Source organism: Homo sapiens, chromosome 8 (genome assembly GCF_000001405.40).
Source record: "Homo sapiens chromosome 8, GRCh38.p14 Primary Assembly".
Lineage (NCBI taxonomy): Eukaryota > Metazoa > Chordata > Mammalia > Primates > Hominidae > Homo > Homo sapiens.
The window spans coordinates 54,181,284-54,205,048 of record NC_000008.11 but is presented as its reverse complement, the minus strand read 5'-3'; the positions used below and the strand labels follow the sequence as shown (position 1 = coordinate 54,205,048).

Below are 23,765 nucleotides of genomic sequence, written 5' to 3'. Positions count from 1 at the left end.
TTGAATATAGTCATTTAACTCAATAACTCTACAATGAAGGCACTATCATTATCCCCCTATTAAGGATGAGGAAACTGAGGATTACACAAATTAAGTTACCCAAAGTCCAAAAGCTCACAAGTACAGAAACAGTTCTCAAAATCAGGTTTTTGTGACTGAAAACACTGTGCTAATATCCAAAAGGTGGGAGCAACACAAGTGTCCATTGATGGATAAATGGACATAGAAAAAGTGGTCTATACATGCAAAGGAATATTATTCAGCCATAAAGAGGAAGAAAAGGCTGATACTTGCTATAACATGGATGAATTTTGAGGACATTATGCTAAGTGAAATAAGCCAGTCACAAAAGGACAAACAGTGGATGATGCCACTTATATGAGGTACCTGGAGTAGTCAAATTCATAGAGATAGAAAGTAGAATGGTGGTTGCCAGGGACTGGGGATAGGGGAAAGTGGGAAATTATTGTTTAATGGGTACAGAGTTTCAGTTTTGCAGGATGAAAGGACTTCTGGAGATGGATGTTGTAATGGTTCACAACTAAGTATACTTAATGCCAGTGAACTGTACATTTAGAAATGGGTAAGACGGGCCGGGCATGGTGGCTCACGCCTGTAATCCCAACACTTTGGGAGGCCGAGGTGGGTGGATCACCTGAGGTCAGGAGTTCAAGACCAACCTGGCCAACATGGTGAAACCCCATCTCTACTAAAAATACAAAAATTAGCCAGGTGTGGTGGCGAGCACCTGCAATCCAGCTACTTGGGAGGCTGAGGCAGGAGAATCACTTGAACCCAGGAGGTGGAGGTTGCAGTGAGCTGAGATTGGGCCATTGCACTCCAGCCTGGGCAACAAGAATGAAGCTCTGTCTCAAAAAAAAAAAAAAAAAAAAAAAAAAAAAAAATATATATATATATATATATATATGAGTAAGATGGTAAATTTTATGTCATATGTAATTCATCACTATCTTTAAAAGCTATACTAAACAAGCATATTCTTCAAAACTGGATAACCTGGATGACATGGACAAATTCCTGAAAACACATGATCTATCAAAATTGACTGATAAATAATTAGAAAATCTGAATAGACACAACTAGTAAGGAGATTGAATCAATAATCAAAACCTCTCAACAATATCAACAACAAAAAGCTGAGGAACAGATGGCTTTACTGGTGAATTACACCAAATGCTTTTTTTTTTTCCTGAGATAGGGTCTTGCTCTGTCACCCAGGCTGGAGTGCAGTGGTGTGATCACAGCTCACTGCTGCCTTTACTTCCTGGGCCCCAGCAATCCTCCCACTTAAGCCTCCCAAGTAGCTAGGACTACAGATACATGCCACCATGCCCAGCTAATATTTTTTAAAAATTTTTTTGTAGAGATAGTGACTCCCTACATTGCCCAGGCTGGTCTTGAACTCCTGAGCTCAGGTGATCCTCCTACCTTAGCCTCTCAAAATGCTGAGATTACAATCATTAGCCACCATGCCTGGACTATACCAAATACTTAACAATGAATTAACACCAATCCTTCTGAAACTCTTCCAAAAACTTGAAGAGGAGGTAATACTTCTTAAGTCATTCTCTGAGGCCAGCATGACCCTGATACTGAAGCCAGACAAAGATGTTGCCAAAAAAAGAAAACTGTAGGGTAATAACCCTTGTGAATATTAATGCAAAAATCCTCAAAAAAAAAATTAGCAAACCAAATTCAACAGCATATTAAAAGGATTAAACACCATGACTAAGTGGGATTTAATCTCGGAAAGCAAGAATGGTTCAATGGAGCAAGATGGCTGACCAGAAGCCTTTAGTGCTTGTCCCCCTCACAAAAACATCCAGAACAATGAATAAACGATAACATTGCAATAAAAATAACTGAAGGAGAGTGTCATTGTGCATCAGAGGAGTAATAGAAATCCGGGTGAGCACAGAAAATTGGAATGGCCACATAGAGAACCAAAGGAAACACTGAGCCTCCACCATCCCATTCCCTAACCAGGATGGGCTGGGAATGAGGAGAGACCTTCTCCTTTGGCAATGAGGTAAGAAAGAGGATCCCAGCAACCTGCATGAACACCTTGGACACCTACAGGCCTCACCGCTGGGGTCCCCTGCAGTCCTCACAGGAACTAAGCCCAGTGAGGGAACTGCCTGGAGACCACATAGCTGTGGTCCCACTAGAGAAGGCACCAACACTGTGCTCCACCTCCTGGGGCCTGCAAAACTACTGTGCTGTGCCATCTTGGATTTGAAACTATGGATGGAGAATGTCTTGTCCAGGAAGTGAGTACCCTTGGCTCGCCTTCATCCTTGAGGCTAAGCCACCACTGAGCTACTCCAGCCCAGTGGCCCAACATCCCCAAGCTCAGCTGTGAGCAGCTATTACACCCTTCCCTACGGAACCAAGCAGAGGCAAAGGTCCTCCACCTACTCCTCCCCAGCCCCTCAGGTCAGAGCTGAAGTGGTACCCTGTCTCCTGGGAAAAGACTACCTTGTACATGTATGGCACTCATACTTCTCTGGTACCTAAGTTGAAGCAGCACCCTGCATCCTAGAAAGTGGTGCCCTGACCACCCAGAGCAGTCACACACACACCAGTACCTAAGCCGCAGGGCATCCTGCATTCCAGGGAAATGGTTCCTGGGCCACCCAGAACAGTCCTGCCTTTCCAGGCCTGAGCTGAAGTAGCACATTGCCCCCTAAGGAACTGGTGCCCTGGATGAGCTGAGCAGCTCCACATCCCAAGGTTGAGCTGAAATAGTATCCGGTGTCCCAGAGAAATGGAGCAATGGCTGAGCTGAGACACTCAGCCCTACAGGCCAAACGGATCTAGTATTCTGCTTCCCTGGAGCTGGACTAGCCTACTAAAGTCTTAGCTGCTGAAACACCCCTCTTCCTGGGGAGTAGACTCATCACTGTGCTTTCTTCTGCCCTACTCCTCAGGGCCCAAATGATAGCTGTGCTCTGCCATTCTGGGGTACTTACTGCCACTGCACTTGCCCTCACTGAGTCTGAGATACTCCCAACCCTGACCATCTCAAGGCCTAGAGTCACTACTACATAGTACCTCATCCAATGGGACCTGAGTTATCACTGAGCCCTACTGGCTCAGCTTCCCAAATTGCAGCCATACCCTGCTTCCCAGGCTCAAACCTCTAAAGCATTCATTCCTTCCTCCCCAAACTCAGGCCAGGGTTGTGCCCTCCCCCCAGGGGTATAATCTCAGCAACAATTCCACCCCTGGGCCTGAGCTACTAGGGGGTGCCATAGAGTCACAGATCCTGGCTCTGTGGGCAACCTACATCTAACCCTGCCACAAAGAGCAAACCTGCACCCCAAGACCCAGGTGCCATGATAAGTTCATGAGACTGTGAACCGAAGACCACAACCCCACAACTGCTTAAAGCACTTGCACCTGTAATCCAGTGCCACTGCAGATGCTTGTAGGCTATGTCAGACCCAACACCAAGAGAGATCCCCTCAGCTAAGTCCCCTCATTGAGAAGAAAACAACAGGAGGACCACAAAAGCCCTTTATACTGAGGATATTAACAACCAATGCCACTATTGCCCCGTCACAAATTTTTACAGCCTAGGCCACTGAGATGTCCACAGTTATTACTGACATTGAACACAACAGAAGAAGCTGCATAAAGAGTATGCTAATGCACCTATCCAGAAATAGGGTCACCACACTCATCACAACTGGCACTCTAAAATCCAACTGCAGATGAAAGTCTTTCTCTATGAAAGTCACTCTAAAACATTTGGAAGAGGCAATTGTTCTATCAGATGCATAGACATAAATACAGGGACAGAAGAAACATGAAAAAGTAAGGAAATATCATACCACCAAAGGTACATAATAACTCTAGTAACAGAGTCCAGTGAAAAGAAAATCAATACATTGCAGGAAAATGAATTCAAAATAATGATCTTAAGGAAACTCAATGAAATACAAAAAATACAGATAGACAATTCAACAAAATTAGAAAAACAACTTATGATACGAATGAGATGTAAAACAAAGAGATAGAAATTATGAAAAAGAACAAAACAGAAATCCTGTGGTTGAAGAACTCAATTAATACAATTAAAAATACAATAGCTCAACAGCAAGTCTGCTGCTGAAGCTCAGCAGACTTGATCAAGCAGAAGAATTTCTGAACTTGAAGATGGGTTGTTTGAAATTACCCAGTCAGAGAGCAAATAAATAAGAATGAAAAAGAGTGAGTAGAACACAAAGAAGGAAACAATAGACACTGGAGTCTATTTGACAGTGGAAGGTATCAGGAAGGTGGGGATCAAAAAACTACCTACTGGTTACTATGTTCATTATCTGAGTGACAGAATAATCTATACACTAAACCCCTACAACATGCAATTTACCATACAACAAACCTGCACATGTACCCACTGAGCCTAAAATAAAAGTCAGAAAGGAAAAAAATAGAGCCAATGAAACCTACAAGATTCATGGGACACCATTACAAGATTCATGGGACAATTTTTATAGTATGGAAACTCCAGAAGGAGAAGAGAAGGGAACAGGCATAGAAAACATATGTAATGAAATAATAGCTGAAAATTCCCAAGTCTAAGGAAATATACAAACATTCAGATCCAGGAAGCTCAAAAGTCTCCATATAGATGCAACCCAAAAAGATCCTCCTTTAATGAGGCACATTACAGTCAAATTGTCAAAAGTCAAAGACAAAGGGAGAGTTCTAAAAATAGCAAGAAAAAAGTGCCAGGAAACATATAAGGGGAATCTTCATCAGACTAACGCAGATTTCTCTGCAAAAACCTTATAGGTCAGGAGAGAATGACATGATATATTCAAATTGCTGAAATTCAATTTAAAAAAATGCCAGCCAAGAATACTATGCAAAGCAAAACTATCCTTCAGAAAGGAAGGAGAAATAAAGTCTTTCCTAGGCAATCAAAAAAGTGAGGGAATTTATCACCACTAGACTAACCTTACAAGAAATGTTCAAAGTGTCCTACATCTGGAAGCAAAAAGACAATAATCACTATTATGAAAACACACAGAGGTATAGCACTTACTGGTAGAGAAGACACACAAGATACACAAAAGAGAAAGAGAAAAGAATCAAAACGTATCACTACAGAAAACCACCAAACCACAATAATAACAAGAGAAGAGACAAGAAGAATATACAAAATGACTGACCAGAAAACAATTAACAAAATAACAAGAGTATGTCCTCACCTGTCAAAAATAACTTTGAATGTAAACAGATTAAATTATTAAAGATACAGCCTGTCTGAATGCATTTAAAAAATCATGACCCAAATATATGCTGCCTACAAGAAACTCACTTCACTGTAAACACACATACAGACTGAAAATGAAGTGATATTCCATTCAAATTAGAATCAAAAGCACACAGGCATAGCTATACTTATGTTAGATAAGACAGACTTTAAGTCAAAAACGGTAAAAAGAGACAAAGAAAGTCATTATGTAATGATAAAGCTTTCAATTCACAAGAGAATATAACAATTGTAGGCCAGGCACGGTGGCTCACACCTGTAATCCCAGCACTTTGGAAGGCTGAGGCAGACAGATCTCTCAGAGCTCAGGAGTTCAAGACCAGCCTGGGCAACATGGCAAAACCTTGTCTCTACTAAAAAATACAAAAAATTAGCTGGGCATGTTGGCACATGCCTGCAGTTCCAGCTACTCAGGAGGCCAAAATGAGAGGATCACTTAAGCCTGTGAGGTGGTTGCAGTGAGCTCTGATTATGCCACTGCACTCCAGCCTGGGAGACAAAGTGAGACCCTATCTAAAACACAAAACAAAACAAAACAAAAATTGTAAATATACATGTGCATTCAATATCGGAACACCCAGATATATCAACAAATATTATTAGGTCTAAAGGAAGAGATACATTCTAATACAATAAGAGTTGGGGACTTCAACACCCCACTGTCAGCATTGAATAGAGCATCTACACAGAAAATCAACAAAGGCAGATCGAATTTAAACTGGACTGTAGACCAAATGGACCTCACAGACATTTACAGGACGTTTCACCCAATAGCTGCAGAGTAGACATTCTTTTCACCAGCACATGGAACATTGTCCAGGATAGACCACATACTAGGCCCACAGAACAAGTCTCAACAAGTTTTTAAAATTTTAAATCATATCAAGTATCTTTTCAGATCACAATAGAATAAAACTAGAAATCAATAACAAGAGGAACTTTCAAAAATGTACAAATACATGGTAATTAAACAACATGCTCCTGAATTACCAATAGGTCAGTGAATAAACAAAGAAGAAAATTTAAAAACTATTTGAAACAAATGAAAATAGAAACATAACATACCAAAACCTATGTAATACAGCAAAAGCACTATTAAGAAGAAAGGTAATAGCAATAACTGCCTGTATCACAAAGGTAGAAAGATTTCAAGTAAATAACCTAATGATTCATCGAAGGAACTAAAAAAAGCAAGAAAAACCAAACCCAAACTTAGTAGAAAGAAAGAAATAATAAAGATCAGAGCAGAAGTAAAATTGAGACAAGAAATAAAAAAGATCAACAAAATAAAACATTGATTTTTAAAAAGATAAATCAACAAACCATTAGCTAGGCTAACCAAGAAAAAAAGGAGAAAAGACTCAAATAAATTCAGAAATAAAAAATGAGATGTTTCAACTGATACCTAAGAAATACAAAGGATCATTAGAGATTATTACAACTATACTTCAACAAATTAGAAAGCCTAACAGAAATGGATAAATTCCTAGACACGTACAACCCACCAAGGCTGAACCAAGAAGAAATAGAAAACCTGCACATACCAGTTATGAGTAATGAGATTGAATCTGTAATAGAAAGTCTCCCATCATCTCTTCACTGCAGAATTCTACTGAACATCTAAAGAACTAATACCAATTTTTCTCAAACTCTTCCAGAAAATTTAAAAGGAGGAAATTCTTCTAAACTCATTTAATCAGGCTAGCATTAAACTTATGCCAAAACCAAACAAAGACACAACAAAAAGAAAACTATAGACCAATATCCCTGATGAATAAAAATGTAAAAATCCTCAACAAAATACTAGCAAACTGAACCCAGCAGTACATTAAAAAGATCATTCACTGTATTCAAGTGGGATTTATCCCATGGATGCAAGGATGGTTCAACATACTAAAATCTATAAGTGATACATCACATCAACAGGATAAAGGACAAAAAAAATACACTCATAACAACAGATGCAGAAAAAAACATTTGATAAAATGTAACATCCCTTCATAAAATATCTTAACAAGTTATGTATAGAAGGAACATACTTCAAAATAATAAATGCCATATGTGAAAAACCCACAGCAAACATTATACTGAATGGGAAAAGTTGAAAGGTTTTCCTCTAAAGACTAGAACAAGACAAAGATATCCACTTTAACCACTTTTATTCAACATGGTACTGAATATCCTAACCAGAACAATTAGGCAAGAGAAAGAAATAAAGTGTATCCAAATTGGAAAAGAGGAAATCAAATTTTCCTTGGTTGCAGATGACATCATCTTATAGTTTTCAAAAAATTGTAAATGCTCCACCAAAAATCCCTTAGAACTGACAAATTAAGTTGCAAGATACAAAATCAACATACAAAAATCAGTAATTTTTCTATACACCAACAACAAACTAGTGGGAAAGGAATCAAGAAAGCAATTCTATTTACAATAGCTACAAAAAAAGTTAAAAATATGTAGGAATAAATATAACCAAGAAGGTAAACAATTGCTACAAGGAAAACTATAAAACATTGATGAAAGAAATTGAAGAGGACACACATACACACACACAAAAATGGAATGACATCATTCCATGCTCGTGGATTGAAGGAATTGATATTGTGAAAATGACTATACTACCAAAAGTGATGAACAGATTCAATGCAATCCCTATCAAAACATCAATTACAGTCTTCACAGAAATAGGAAAAACAATCAGAAAATTCATACGGAACCAGAAAAAACCCAAATAGCCAAAGCAATCCTGAGAAAAAAAGAACAAAGCTGGAAGTATCACATTAAAGACTTCAAAATATACTACAAAGCTATAACAACCAAAACAGCATGGTACTGGTATAAAAAACAGACACATAGACCAATGGAGCAGAATAGAGAACCCAGAAATAAATCCACATATTTACAGCCAACTGATTTTTGACAAAGTTGCCAAGAACATTCACTGAGGAAGGAACAGTCTCTTCAATAAATGGTGCTGGGAAAGCTGGATATCCATATGCAGAATGAAACCAGACCCATATCTCTCACCATATACAAAAATCAATGCAAAATGAATTAAAGACATAAACATAAGACACAAAACTATAAAACTACTAGAAGAAAACATAGAAGCAATGCTCCAGGACATTGGTCTTGGCAAAGAGTTTGTGGTTAAGACCTCAAAAGCACAAGCAGTGGAAACATAAATAGACAAATGGGACTATATTAAACTAAAAAGCTTCTGCACAGCAAAGACAACAATCAACAAAGTGAAGAGACAATCTGTTGAATGGGAGAAAATATTTGCAAACTATTCATTTGACAAGAGGTTAACATCTAAAATATACAAAGAACTCGAACAACTCAACAGCAAGAAACAAAACAAAACAAAAAACTCAGATTATCTGATTTTAAAATGGGCAAATGAGCTAAACAGACACCTCTCAAACAAAGATATACAAATGGCCAACAGGTATATGAAAAAATTGTTCAACATCACTAATCATCAGGGAAATGCAAATTAAAAGCACAATGAGATACCATCTCACTCCAATTAGAATGACTACTCTCAAAAAGACAAAAAAGGCCAGGCACAGTGGCTCATGTCTGTAATGCCAGCACTTTAGGAGGCTGAGGCAGGCAAATCATTTGAAGTCAGGAGTTCAAGACCAGCCTGACCAACATGTGAAACCCAATCTCTACTAAAAATACACACACACACACACACACACAGCTGGGCACAGTGGTGCACACCTGTAATCCCAGCGACTTGGGAGGCTGAGGTAGGAGAATTGCTTGAACCCGGGAGGCAGAGGTTGCAGTGAGCTGAGATCGCATCACCACACTCCAGCCTGGGTGACAGAGTGAGACACCATTTCAAAAAAAAAAGCAACAACAACAAAAAAAAAACAGATGCTGGTGAGGATGCAGAAAAAGGACAATTCTTATGCACTGTTGGTGGGAATGTAAATTAGTACAGCCACTATGGAAAACAGTATGGAGGTTTCTCAAAAAACTAAAAATAGAACTACCATGTGACCTAGCAATCCCACTGTTGGGTATGTATCCAAAGGAAAAGAAATAGGTATGTGAAAAAGATATCTGTACCCCCATGTTTACTTCAGTACTATTCACAAGATATGCAGCCAAGATATGGAATCAACCTAAGTTCCATCAACAGATGAATGGATAGTCAATGGATGAGTGGATAAAGAAAATGTGGTACATATACATAATGGAGTATTATACAGCCAAAAAAAATGAAATCCTGTCATTTGCAATGACATGAATGGAACTAGAGGACATTATGTTGAGTGAAATAAGCCAGACACAGAAAGACAAATATCATATTTCTCAATCATATGTGGGAACTAAAAAAAAACTTAACGCATGGAGACAGAGAGTAGAATGATTTCCAGAAGCTGGAAAGGGTGGTCAGGAGGAGGAAACATACAGAGGTTGGTTAATGGGCACAAAAATATAGTTAGATAGAGGTAATGAGAGCTAGTGTTCAGTAGCAGAAGAGGGAGACTATAGTTAACAATAATTTATTGTATATTTCAAAATAAGTAAAAGAGTGGCATTAGAATGTTCCTAGCAGTTTGGCACGGTGGCTTACACCTGTAATCCCAGTACTTTGGCAGGCCAAGGTGGGCAGATTGCTTGAGCCCAGAAGTTCGAGACCAGCTTGGGCAACATAATGAAACCCCATCTCTACAAAAGAAAATTACAAAAATTAGCTGGGCATGGTGGTGTGCACCTGTAGTCCCAGCTACTCAGAAGTCTAGGCTGGGGGCTTCCTTTGAGCTGGGAGGTTGAGAAAGCAGTGAGCCACTCCAGCCTGGGCAACAGACTGAGACCTTGTCTCAGAAAAGAAAAAAAAAAAAGAATGTTTCTAGCACAAAGAAATGATAAATGCTTGAGATGATGGCTATCCTAATTACCCTGATTTAGTCATTACACACTGTGACACTCGTATCAAAATATTACATGTACCCCCATAAATAAGTAAATATGTACAACTATTGTGTATCCATAAAAATTAAAAGTTTTAAAACAGATGAATGCATAAAGAAAATGTGATATGTATACACAATGGAATACTATTTAGTCATAAAAAGGAATGAAATTCTGTCATTAGCGGCTATATAAGTGAGCTTGGAAAATATTAAGTGAAATAAGCCAGGCATAGAAAGATAAGTACTGCATGTTCTCACTCATATGTGAAAGCTAAAAAAAGTTGATCTCACAGAAGTAGAGAGTAGAATAGTAGTCACCAGTGCCTGGGAATGGTAGGTGGGAGCAGAGGATAGACAGTAAAGGTCAGTTAATAAATACAAAAGTACAGCTATATAGGAGTAGTAAGTTCTAGTGTTCCGTAACACTATAGGAAAACTAACAAAAACTTATTGTATATTTTCAAGTATCCAGAAGAGTAGATTTTGAATGTTCCGAACACCAAAAAAAGGAAATTTTTGAGATGATGAATATACTAATTACTATGATTTGATCATCACACATTGTATAAGTGTATCAAAATATCACAATTTACCTCATTAATATGTACAATTATCTATCAATTTAAAATAGAAAAGCAAAAAATGAAATAAGAACAATGAAAAAAGAATGCTTCAACAAAAAAAAAATCAATCAATATAGTACACTACATTAATAGAATTCAGGGGAGAAAAGCACATGATCAACTCAACTGATGCAGAAAAACACCTGACAAAAATTCAACCACCTTTCACGATAAAAACACTCAATATACTAGGAGTAGAAGGAAACTTCCTCAAAATGATAAAGGTCATATATGAAAAATCCACAGCTAACATCATACTCCAAACACCTTTGCATATATGGTCAACTGATTTTTGACAAGAGTGCCAATACCATTCAATGGTGGAAAGACAGTATGAAACCTTTTCCTCTACAATCATTAACAAGACAAGGCTGCCTGCTTTCACTATTTCAATTCAACATAGGATTAGAAATTCTAGCCAGAGCATTTAGGCAAGAAAAAGAACAAAAGTAATCTAAATTGGGAAGGAAAAAGGATAATTAATTATCACTGTTCACAGAGGGCAAGATCTTTTATGTAGAAAACCCCAAAGATTGTGCGACTGCACACACACAAACTTTAGAGCTAATGAATTCAGCAATGTTGCAGGATATGAAATCAACACACAAAAATCGGTTGCATTTCTATATACTGGCAATGAATAGTCTGAAAAGAAAATTAAGAAAAACATTCAATTTACAATAATATCAAAAAGAATAAGTTGACCTCCTGCATAGTCAAAATCCACATACAACATTTGACTCCCCAAAAGCTTAAGTACTAATTGCCTACAGTTGACTGGAAAACTTACCGATAACAACCTGTCAATTAATACATATTTAATGTTATATGTATTATATACTATATTCTTAGAATAAAGTAAGATAGAGAAAAGAAAGTGATATTTTAAAAATCAGAAGGAGTCTCAACAATGTCTGGATAATTACAAAAAGAGGGAAAGAATAAGAACAAAATAAAATCATAAGGAAGAAAAAATATATTTGCAATTCATTAAGTGGAATGGATTATCATAAAAGTCATCATCCTTGTCATCTTCACATTGAGTAGGCTGAAGAGGAGGAGGAGGAGAAAGGATTCATCTTGCTGTCTCAGGGGTAGCAGAGGTAGAAAAGGTAGAGGAGGTGAAAGGGGAGGCAGGAGAGGCAGGCACACTTGGTGTAACTTTTATTGCAAAAACTGAGTGTAAATGAACCTCGCAACTCAAATCTATGTTGTTTAAGGGTAAACTGTACTTAGGAATAGATTTAACTAAGGAGGAAAAAGATTGGTACACTGAAAACTACAAAACATGACTGAAAGAAATCAAAGAAGATAAATTAATGGAAAGACATTTCCATTTTATCTTAATATTGTGAAGAGGACAAAACCACCCAAAACAATCTACAGATTCAGTGAAACTCCTGTCAAAATACCAATGGCATGTTTTGTAGAAATAGAAAAATTGATTCTAAAAGTTATAGGAAATCTCAGGAGATCCTAAATAACCAAAACATCTTGAAAAATAACAAAATTGGAAGATTCACATTTCCTAATTTCAAAACTTACTACAAAGCTACAGTATTCAAAAAAAAAGTGATACTGGCATAAGGACAGCTATATAAACCAATGGAAAAGAACAGAAAGCCCAGAAATAATCCCAGAAATGTGGGGTCAAATGATCTTCAACAAGGGTACTAAGACCACTTAATGGAGAAAGGACATTCTCCTTAACGAATGGTGCTAGAAATACTGACTATTCACATGCAAACAAGTAAAGTTGGATCCTTACATCATACTTTTTTAAACTCAAAATGAGTCAAAGATCCAAAGTTAAAAGCTAAAACAATAAACTCTCAGAAAAAACGGGGAAATCTTCATGAGATTGGATTTGACAACCATTTCTTGGATACGACACCAACAACACAGTCAACAAAAGTAAATATTAAAGAACCATTCTTTTAATGAAAGTTTAAAACTTTTTGCATCAAAGGACACAATCAACAGAGTGAAAAAACAACCCACAGAATGACAGAAAATATTTGCAAATGACATATCTGATAAGGGATTCGTATCCAGAATAAACAACTCCTAAAACTCAATGACAAAAACAAACAACTCAATTCAAAAATGAGTATTACCAAACACTGAGCCGCCGTGCAGCTAGTATGCCACGTGGAAGCCGAAGCCACACCTCCTACAGGGCCCCTCCCACCAGCCAGGCACCTCAGATGAGAGCTACACCCAGGCTAGCACCAGCAGCTCAGCCGCCAGCAGTGGCACCCCCATCTGCAGTTGGCTCTCCTGCTCCTGCACCCCGGCAGCCAAGTCTGATGGCCCAAATGGCAACCACTGCAGCTGGCGTGGCTGTAGGCTCTGCTGTGGGTCACACACTGGGTTATGCCCTCACTGGGAGCTTCAGTGGAGGAAGTAATGGTGAGCCTGCAAAACTTGACATCACTTACCAGCAGCATCAGGGAACCTGGCCAGCACAGCAGCAGCAGCCTTGTTTCCATGAGATCAAACAGTTTTTGGAGTGTGCCCAGAACCAGGGTGACACCAACAAGCTCTGTGGGGCTTTCAAGAGGTTCTCAAACAGTGCAGACTTGCAAACAGATAGGCCTAATCAAGAAGTTCAAATTGGAGAAATGGAAAATCAGCTCTCCTAACCAAGTTAATTCACTATTAAAATAAAATTGATAGTGAAGGTATAAAATATAACCACCAGTTAAACCTCTCGTATGTCATCTATAGCTTCCTTGCTTCAGAATTGAAATGGAAGAGGGTGTTCTAACTGTGTAGAATTTCATTAAGATGGTGTAGAATTTGGGGCTGGGCAAATGTTTGTGTGGCCTCCTTAAACTGGCTGTTACGATTTTATTCTTTGTGAGTCAATTAGAATGAGATGATTTTCTTCCAAGAAAATGAATATTTCTCTAGAAGATAAACAAATGGCCAATAAATACATGCCTTAGTCATTTGGAAAATACAAATCAAAACCACAGTGAGGTACCACTTCACACAAATTAGAATGGCTGTTTATTTTTCATGAAAATAACAAGCATTAGTGATGATGTGGAGAAATTGGAACCCTCATGCATTGCTGGTGGAATGTAAGATGGTTCAGCTACTATGGAAAACAGTTTGGCAGTTCCTCTAAAATTCAAAACATAAAATTACTATATAATCCAGCAATTCCATTCCTCAATATATACTCAAAAGAATTGAAAGCAGGGACTGAAACAGATACTTGTACACCAATATCCCTCAGGATCTGTAGGGGATTGGTTCCAGGACCCTCTTGGATACCCAGATCTGCGGATGCTCAAGTCCCATATATAAAATGGTGTAGTTTTGCAAAAGCAATCAGTAGATATAAGGGAAAAAATGGTGTAGTATTTATATAAACTGATGCACATCTTCCCATATACCTTAAATCATCTCTAGATTACTTATAATACCTAATATACTGTAAATGCTATGGAAATCATTAATACTATATTTTTTAATTTGTATTATTTTATTATTGTATCTTTTTTCCAATTTTTTTTTTTTTGAGACAGAGTCTCACTTCATAGCCCAGGCTGGAGTTCAGTGGTGTGATCTCAGCTCACTGCAACCTCTGCCTCCCAGGTTCAAGTGATTCTCATGCCTCAGCCTCCCAAGTAGCTGGGATTACAGGCGTGCACCACTATGCCCAACTAATTTTGTATTTTTAGTAGACACAGGGTTTCACCATGTTGGCCAGGCTGGTCCTGAACTCCTGACCTCAGGTGATCCACCTGTCTCAGTTTCCTAAAGTGCTGGGATTACAGGCATGAGCCAGCACACCTGGCCATTCCAAGTATTTTTTAATCCATGATTGGTTGAATCCATGGATGCAGAACCCACAAATACAGAGAGACAACTGTATTATTCATAGTAGCCAAAAGGCAGACAGCAATGAAATTTCAATACATGCTACAACATGGATAACGCTTGAAAATATTATGCTAAGTGAAATAAGCAGACACAAAAAAAGACAAATATGGTGTGATTCCACTTGTATGAGGTATATAGAATAGGCAACTTCATAGAGACATAAAGTAGAATGGTGGTTACTAGGGACCTGGGGAGAGGTGAGAATGAGGAGTTACTGTGTAATGGGTAGAGTTTCTGTTTGACGTGATGAAAAACTTCTGAAAACAGATAGTGGTGATGGCTGCACAACATTGTGAATGTACTTAATATCAATGAATTAATCGTATTCTCCAAAATGGTCAAAATGATAAATTTTTGTTATGTTTATTTACCACAATAAAATAAAACACTCTAAAAGGGAATTCAGTCCTCAGCAGAGGCCCTATCTGCATTTTTCCTGGTTCAACCATGGCTCAATTGGGTTTCAGAGCCTTATTCATTTTTTTTTTTTTTGAGACGGAGTTTCACTCTTGTTGCCCAGGCTGGAGTGCAATGGCACAATCTCCACTCACCATGATCTCAGCTCACCGCAACCTCCGCCTCCTGGGTTCAAGCGATTCTCCTGCCTCAGCCTCCTGAGTAGCTGGGATTACAGGCACCTGCCACCATGCCCGGCTAATTTTGTATTTTTAGTAGAGACGGGGTTTCTCCATGTTGGTCAGGCTGGTCTCGAACTCCCAACCTCAGGTGATCAGCCTACCTCGGCCTCCCGAAGTGCTGGGATCACAGGCATGAGTCACCGCACCCGGCCTCAGAGCCCTATTCTTTTATGAATGCTATTCTAGCGTGAAAATAAAATCTTCCTGCAAGTATCAATCACCCTTGAGCCTGTTCATGTGCTGAGAAATAAAGGAGACAAAAAAATAATAGGGAACATAGAAAGATGTAGAGGGAAAATATAAACAACACAGGCAAACAGGCTGTGTTAACCAAACAAACACCTACTGTACTTGTTTCAAGTACTTTGGGAAATTTAAGAAAAATATGTTAAATGCTCAATAAGGACCAGGGGTTTTAAAATTTTTTATGTTACAGAAGAAAGTCCTTGTAGATATGCACTAATTGTTTCCTTCCCTCTCTCCAATCCATGATTTATGGAATACTTAATGGTCATTTACTACTCATCTACTCACAGGAAACTGGCAGATCTGATATTTTAACCTACTTAGAAGCTGATAAATCGGCCTGTTACCGTTTGCTTCATGGATGCTGGCAAAAGACAAGAGACTCATGGGTCAGAGACAAAGAATTTTATTACTTCCTATATAGCAAGCAACATGGGTACCAGAATGTTGCATCTTTCTTGCCCCCAAATCCCATGGGATGAATGCAGTTGGCCCAGGGGGGCACCTGAACACACCATGAATTGCCTTACAGTACAGAGGAGGAACTCTGGGCTTCAAAAGCCCAAATCATTCATAACAAGCAGTAAGCATACCTGTTCTTTGCTCCAGAGGGAAATATTTCTTTCAAGAAAGTCTGCTATATAAACATCCTTGAAAAGATAGTCTAGGCTGGGCATGGTGGCTCACACCTCTAATCCCAACACTTCAGGAGGCTGAGGTGGGCAGATCACGAGATCAAGAGATTGAGATCATCCTGGCCAACATGGTGAAACCCCGTCTCTACTAAAAATACAAAAATTAGCTGGGCATGGTGGTGTGCACCTGTAGTCCCAGTTACTCAGGAGGCTGAGGCGGGAGAATAGCTTAAACCCGGGAGGTGGAGGTTGCAGTGAGCCGAGATCATGCCCCTGCACTCCAGCTTGGGCAACAGAATAAGACTCTGTCTCCAAAAAAAAAAAAAAACGAAAGAAAGAAATTAAAGAAAAGATAGTCTAGAACAAAGGGCTGTCAGTGCCTCTGTTATTAATATTTGCTGGAACTTGAGAGACCCACAGAGAATTGTTTCCCCCTAATATCCACTCCTCACTTCTACTCTGTGGCTAAGCTCATCCAATTTGTCTTATATGGCATTTAATTAAGGCTACTGCCTACAGGACTCCAAGCAGCAGGATAGGCCAACCTACAGTACGGACCTCAGCCACGCCTCTCAGGGTCCTGTATCCAATCAGCAGAACACCTCACAACCCATCAAGGTCTACCTCAGAAATCCAGGTGGCTTTCTCCTTCACTTTCTGTATTGATTTTTTTTTTTTGGACACGGAGTCTCGCTCTGTCGCCCAGGCTGGCAGTGGTGCGATCTCGGCTCACTGCCACTGCCTGCCACGTTTAAGCGATTTTCCTGCCTCAGCAGCTGGGATTACAGGCTCCTGCCACCATGCCCAGCTAATTTTTTTGTATTTTTAGTAAAGTCAGGGTTTCACCATGTTGGCCAGGCTTGTCTCCAACTTCTGATATCAGGTGATCCGCCTGCCTCAGCCTCCCAAAGTGCTGGGATTACAGGCCTGAGCTAAGGCACCCAGCCTCTGTATTGATTTTTTAACTTCGCCCTAGATATTAATCCAGGTACAGGAGGAGGAAGTCTAGGGCAATCCCATCAACCATAACAACCCTAGCCAGTTGGTTTAGACTGACTTAAATGGCTTTAGCGGGAGAATGTCATAGCTGTGATCACTTCAGCTAAAAAAAGTGGCGAATTCCAAACCACCTTTTCTCATTGGATGCTTCCCCTCACAGAAAAAAACTGCCATAGGACTTACATAAATAACAAGTCAGTTATCCTATCCCTCCAAGACACAAGCCACAGAACCAAGAGCAGCTGCTTCTGGAGAACTCTGCACAATCATCTGAGGCTGCATGGTCTCCTGGTGCTGTTTCCTCAAACCCTCAAAGGTCTGTTATGGCCATCCCCGGGGTACAAGTCCCCATGAGAAAGGCTAATTAACACCTGGCTTCCAGACTAAAAGCAAATATCAAGGGTGCACACGCTGCCCCTGGAAAGAGAGCTTACAATTGTTGCAGCCAACAAATGAGGTCTACATCATTCAGCAGGGATGGAGTGCAGAGGGATCTGTGTGAAAAAAAACTGACAATGCCTTAGTGGCCTCCTGGCCAGCTGATACACCTAGAGTTCCTAGCTCAGTTTAAATAATTGAGTCTAGACCTTGATTTGGAATGACGGCCTAAAGGACAGACAATCCACTTATCCTGTCTGTACGAGGACTAGTACACCAGGGGAGGAGCGTTCATTCACCCCACAGAACGACGGAGCCACAGCTGTGAGAATGGGTGTGGAGAAGGCAGGAGACAAAGGAGAGTCCCCCTTTGCTACTTCCAGCAGATTTATCAGCAAGGGTAAGGGAATGGCAATCAAATCACAGTGAAAGTCATCTGGAGGAGGATGGCAGACCTAGAAGTCTTAAATTTCAGGTACTTGCAACAGCTTAAGAGAGCTACTGTGGGTGATTTTCCTTTTTGAGAAAGGCTGCAGAGAAAGATCACTAATATTGCTCACTCCCCTATACCTCCTGAGGTCTAAGGGGTTCCCTTTCCAAGTGCCAGGGTTGTTCCTTTTCCTCTACTACCATAAAATCATTGTTGTCCATTTCAGTAGCTATAAAGTCACCCTTTGTCCAATTATTCCCTTACCCATACCAAGACCTTTCTTTGGAAGGGTCAAGTACAAGAGGAACAAGGAACTTTTATTAAATGGACAGAGAACACTTCTATTAGTTTGCTTGTGCTGCCATAACAAAGTGCCACAGACTGAGTGAGTGGCTTACACAAAAGAAATTTCATTTCTCACAGTTCTGGTGGCTGGAGGTCCAAGATCAAGGTGCCATGGGTGCTTTCTGATGAGACCACTCTTCCTGGCTTGTAAGTGGTGGCTTCTTGCTGTGCTTCACATGGCCTTTCCTCTGTGCTTGAGTGGAGAGAGAGAGATATCTGGTGTCTGCTCCCCTTCTTTTAAGGACACCAGTTTTATTGGATTAGGACTCCTAATTACCTCTCTATTCTATTTCCAAACACAGTTACTTTGGGGATTAGGGCTTCAACATGTGAATTATAGGGGAACACAGTACAACTCACAACAACACTTATTTCCCCACTTTGGCCTGTGCAGACCCCCATAGGAGGACTTGGTAAGCAGTCTATTCAAACATGTGTTCACTATTTTTAGGACCTAAGGCCATGTTAATCCAACAAGAAAATCTAGGTGGCTTAACCAGAATGAAGTTTGAATTCCCTAGGGTTCCCTTTTGGCTGGGTTGTTACCCAGAGGGTGCCCCACAAAGCAAACCTGGAACTGCCACTTGAGGAAAGAAGAGAGCATTGTCCCAAGTTTTCATAACAGCAGAAACCCAAATTTTCAAAATAGGTTTGTTGCAAGACCATCCCCCAGGGCTTCTCCCTGCACATTTTAAGGTCAAAGACACTGACTCCCTATGTTCTAGACTCTTTTTTCCAGAATGTTTGCCTGGCAAACAGCCTTTGAGGATAATCATGTCTCCCTCTAGAGCAAAGGCAGTGTTGTTAAATTTTCAGTGTAATAATGTTTTATTCTAGAGCGAAGATCAGACACACTCATTTCCCACTAATGGAGAATTGGGATTCTTAAACGGAATTCCTTTCTTGTACACAACCTAATGAATGCTCAGATTTCATCTGCCCCCCATCACATTACCCCATGGGAACTGGGCTTGGGGAACTGGTGTAAATATGCTAAACTCTGGCTACTACCGCTATTCCATGAGACATAAAGTCCTTTGTCTCTGAGCCAAGTGTCTCATGTTTTCTGCCAACACCCTGAAACTATAGCAAGCTCACTTGTTAGCTTGCAAGTAGGATAAAACCTCAGATTTTTCATACCTCTTCTTTTTTTTTTTTTTTTTTTTTTGAGCCAGGGTCTTGCTCTGTCACCTAGGCTGCAGAGCAGAGGTGCAATCATAGCTCACTGTAGCCTCAACCTCCCAGGCTCAAGTGATCCTCCCACCTCAGCTTCCTAAGTAGCTGGGAGTGTGTCCTGGCATGTCACCATGCCTAGCTAATTTTTTAATTTTTTCTAGAGATAGAGTCTTACCATGTTGTGCAGGCTGGGCTTCTCTTTTTTTTTTTTTTTTTTCAACAGAGTCTCCCTCTGTCACCCAGGATGGAGTGCAGTGGTGCGATCTTGGTTCACTGCAAGCTCCACCTCCCAGGTTCAAGCGATACTGCCTCAGCCTCCTGAGTAAGTGGGAATACAGGTATGCACCACCACACCCAGCCAATTTTTGTATTTTTGGTAAAGATGGGGTTTTGCCTTGTTAGCCAGGCTGGGTTCAAACTCCTGACCTCAGCTGATCCACCCGCCTTGGCCTCTCAAAGTGCCGGGATTACAGGCGTGAGCCACTGCACACAGCCACTTCACACTTCTTGATGATCACTCTCATATCTTTTGTCCTGATCATTACCAAGGAAGCAGCCAAGAGAATATAATTCCTTTCTGAAGACAACCAAATTCAGTGACCAAACTGCCTTACTACAGTGCATGGACCAGGACAAGGTGAGAGAGTAGAGTGAGAAATATTTTTCAGTCAGTTTTTGAGGAGGCAGTTTCAATACTCAACACAGGAAGCTTGTGAATGGTAAGGAACTGTGCTGGTCCATTTGTGTTGCTACAAAAGAATACCTGAAACTGAGTAATTTATAAAGAAAAGAGGTTTATTTGGCTCGTTGTTCTGCAGGCTGTATAAGAGGCATGGCACCAGCATCTGCTTCTGGTGAGGACTCAGGAAACGTACAAACATGGCCGAAGGCAAAGGGGGAGCCCATGTATCACATGGTGAGAGACAGCAAGAGAGATAGCAGGAAGCTCCAGGCCCTTTTAAAAACTCAAATCTTGCATGAACTCATGGAGCAAGAACTCACTCATTACTGCAAGGATTGCACCAAGCCATTCATGAAGGATCTGCCCCCATGATCCAAACACTTCCCACCAGACCCTACCTCCAACTTCGGGGATTACGTGTCAACATAAGATTTGGAGGGGACAAACATCCAAACCATATCAGGAACACATAAAAACTCCATCAAATACCTTGATTATCAGGCCACGGTTGACTCCCCTTTGAAAAAACGCTCCTCATTGTCAGAATGCAAATGGTCCAGAAAACCAGACACATGACATGGATCAGTTTCACAGGCTACAGTGGTCTGACAGGAGTTGGCTGATCAGACTAGAACAATAACGCTGTAGCCTGAAGGAGTGTCCACAGTGGTGAAGTACCACTGATAGCCCTCAGAGGGGTCAGGGATCCAGTGTAGTCAATCCACCAGGAGCAGTCAAGGGCAGTGTCCCATGCAACACGGTCTCCCATTCTGTGAGGGGAGGAAGGTTGGATGGCTGGAGTATGGAGACTACAGAATGTTCTGAAAAAGTTTCAGCAAGGGTAATGGAGGGTCCTAGACCCAAAGTGACCTGTTAGAGACATCCAAGAACAGATCTTAGGATACCTGCTGTATTCAACCATTCTCTGGAAGCAGCCATGAGCAGTGTGTCCTCTGCATCCACGTAGTGATAGATATCAGAACTTGCCATCTAGAACCGTGTTCAACCACACTCTCTGCAAGTAGAAAACCTAAAAGATTCCTTCTCATGGCCACCACAACCAGCTATGGTTAACAAAAGGATTCCATAAAATGGGTACCAAAAGAAATAGAAAGAATAAGACCTACTATTTGATAGCACAATAGGGTGACTAGTTTCAGTAATAGCTTAATTGTATATTTTAAAATAACTTAAAGAATGTAATTGGTTATGTGCAGCTCAAAGGATAAATGCACATTACATGCCTGTATCAAAACATCTCATGTGCCCCATAAATATGTACACTTACTATATACCCACAAACTTTTTTTTAATGTAAAAAAAAGGTACCATAAGAAATTCTACTAAAGGCCGGGCATGGTGACTCACACCTGTAATCCCAGCACTTTGGGAGGCCGAGGCAGGCGGATCACCTAAGGTCAGGAGTTCTAGACCAGCCTAGCCAACATGCCAAAACCCCATCTCTACTATAAATAAAAAAGCAGCTGGGTGTGGTGGTGGGCACCTGTAATCCCAACTACTCGGGAGGCTGAGGCAGAAGAATCACTTGAACCCAGGAGGCAGAGGTTGCAGTGAGCCCCAAGATCGTGCCACTGCAGCCTGGATGACAGAGTAAGACTCCCATCTCAAAAAAAAAAAAAAAAAGAAAAAGAAAAAAAGAAATTCTATTACAAAGAACAAAGCAGGCGTGGTGGCTCACACCTGTAATCCCAGCACTTTGGGAGGCTCTGGCAGGCCATCACTTAAGTCTAGGAGTTCGAGTCCAGCCTGGCCAACATGGCAAAACTCTGTCTCTACCAAAAATACAAAATTTTATACAAAAATTAGCCAGGTGTGTTGGCACACGCCTGTAGTCCCACCTACTCTGGAGGCTGAGGTAGGAGAATCACTTGAGCCTGGGAGGGAGAGGTTGCAGTGAGCCAAGATCGCACCACTGCACTCCAGCCTGGGTGACAGAGTGAGACGCTGTCTCAAAAATAAATAAGTAAAAATAAAAGAACAAAGGAAGTAAGATTCTTTGGAGTCTTATTTAGAATAAGTCTATTTAGAATAATGTGCTAACAGACATTCTATATATATATACGAGTATTTTAAATATGTAAAAGGAAAGGAACTAAGCAGAGTATCATAGGTAGTGTCAATTTCTAATACAGAAATATTTATAATTTATAAAAAGATTATTTGAGGTACTAAAAATATCTCTAAAGCTCTGGAGAGAAAGGTACAATAAAAAGTATGTAATTTTTTCAATGTGTAGATTATCTTTTTCTTTTCTCTGTAACTAAAAACAGCCTGAAGGATTTTTTGTTGTTGGCCTCTTTTCTGTCTGTGGAAATCAGACAAGTAAGAGGAAGGAGTAGAGAAACAGCTCCCTTCCTATCTCACAGCCCAGATGGACAAGGCCTCCCTTTGACTGCCTGGAACAGGGATCTGGTGAGAGGGAGAAAAGGCAAGTGGGAGTTGCAGCAGTCCTAGTAAGGGCATCATAATGTCTTATTACCCCCCTACCCAAGTGTCAATTCTTCTAAACAATGTATTGAGATATAAAAACACCCCGTTACAGTATACAATTTATTCCCAAAGTATATTCACAGGGTTGTATAACACCATCACCACAATCTGAGTTTAGGATATTCACATCATCCCAAATAGAATCCCACTGGTAATGACTCCCTCAACAACTACATACACACACACACAAACACACACACACCAGCCCTAGAAAACCATTCACTACTTTTTTTTTTTTTTTTTTGAGACAGGGTCTCCCTCTCACCCAGACTGGAATGCAGTTGTGTGATCTCAGCTCACTGCAACCTCTGCCTCCCGGGTTTAAGCAATTCTCCTGCCTCAGTCTCCCGAGTAGCTGGGAGTATTGGTGTGTGCCACCAGGCCCAGCTAATTTTTGTATTTTTAGTAGAGATGGGGTTTTGCCATGTTGGCCAGGCTGGTCTCGAACTCCTGGCCTCAAGTGATTTGCCCGCTTCAGCCTCCCAAAGTGCTGGGATTACAGGCATGAGCCACTACATCCCGCCATTCATCTACTTGCTATCTCTATAGATTTGCCTATTCTGGACATTCATATAAAGAGAACCATACAATATGTGGTCTTCTGTGGCTGGCTTCACTTACTTAGCTTGTTTTCAAGGTTTATCCATGTCACAGCATGTATCAGTACTTCATTCCTTTTCATTGCTGAACTGTACTCCACTGTACTGGTGGATATACCAAATTTTGTCTATTCATTCATCATTTGATGGACATTTGAGCTGTTTCCACTTGTTGGCTATTATGAATAATGCCACTAACAACATTCTTGTATAAGTCTTTGCGTGGACATGTGTTTTTAATTTTCTTGGGCCTATATGTAGTCATGAAATCGCAGGCTCATGTGGTAACTCTATGGTTAACATTTTGAGGAACTGCCAAACTGCCTTCCACAGCAGCTGCCCTATCAAAAGTGTGCAAGGG

At 40.3% G+C, this 23,765-nt stretch overlaps 1 pseudogene, besides 1 other annotated feature; it reads left to right on the top strand.

The window, feature by feature from the left end:
- Nucleotides 12,906-13,200: an enhancer, noted in NCBI's record as "tiled region #5071; K562 Activating DNase matched - State 8:EnhW, and HepG2 Activating non-DNase unmatched - State 10:DNaseD". NCBI's record gives its function as "activates a minimal TATA promoter and a strong SV40 promoter by Sharpr-MPRA in K562 cells, with weaker activation in HepG2 cells {active_cell/tissue: HepG2 | K562}" and the evidence as "EXISTENCE:reporter gene assay evidence [ECO:0000049][PMID:27701403]".
- CHCHD2P10 (coiled-coil-helix-coiled-coil-helix domain containing 2 pseudogene 10) lies at nt 12,995-13,764 on the top strand (annotated as a pseudogene).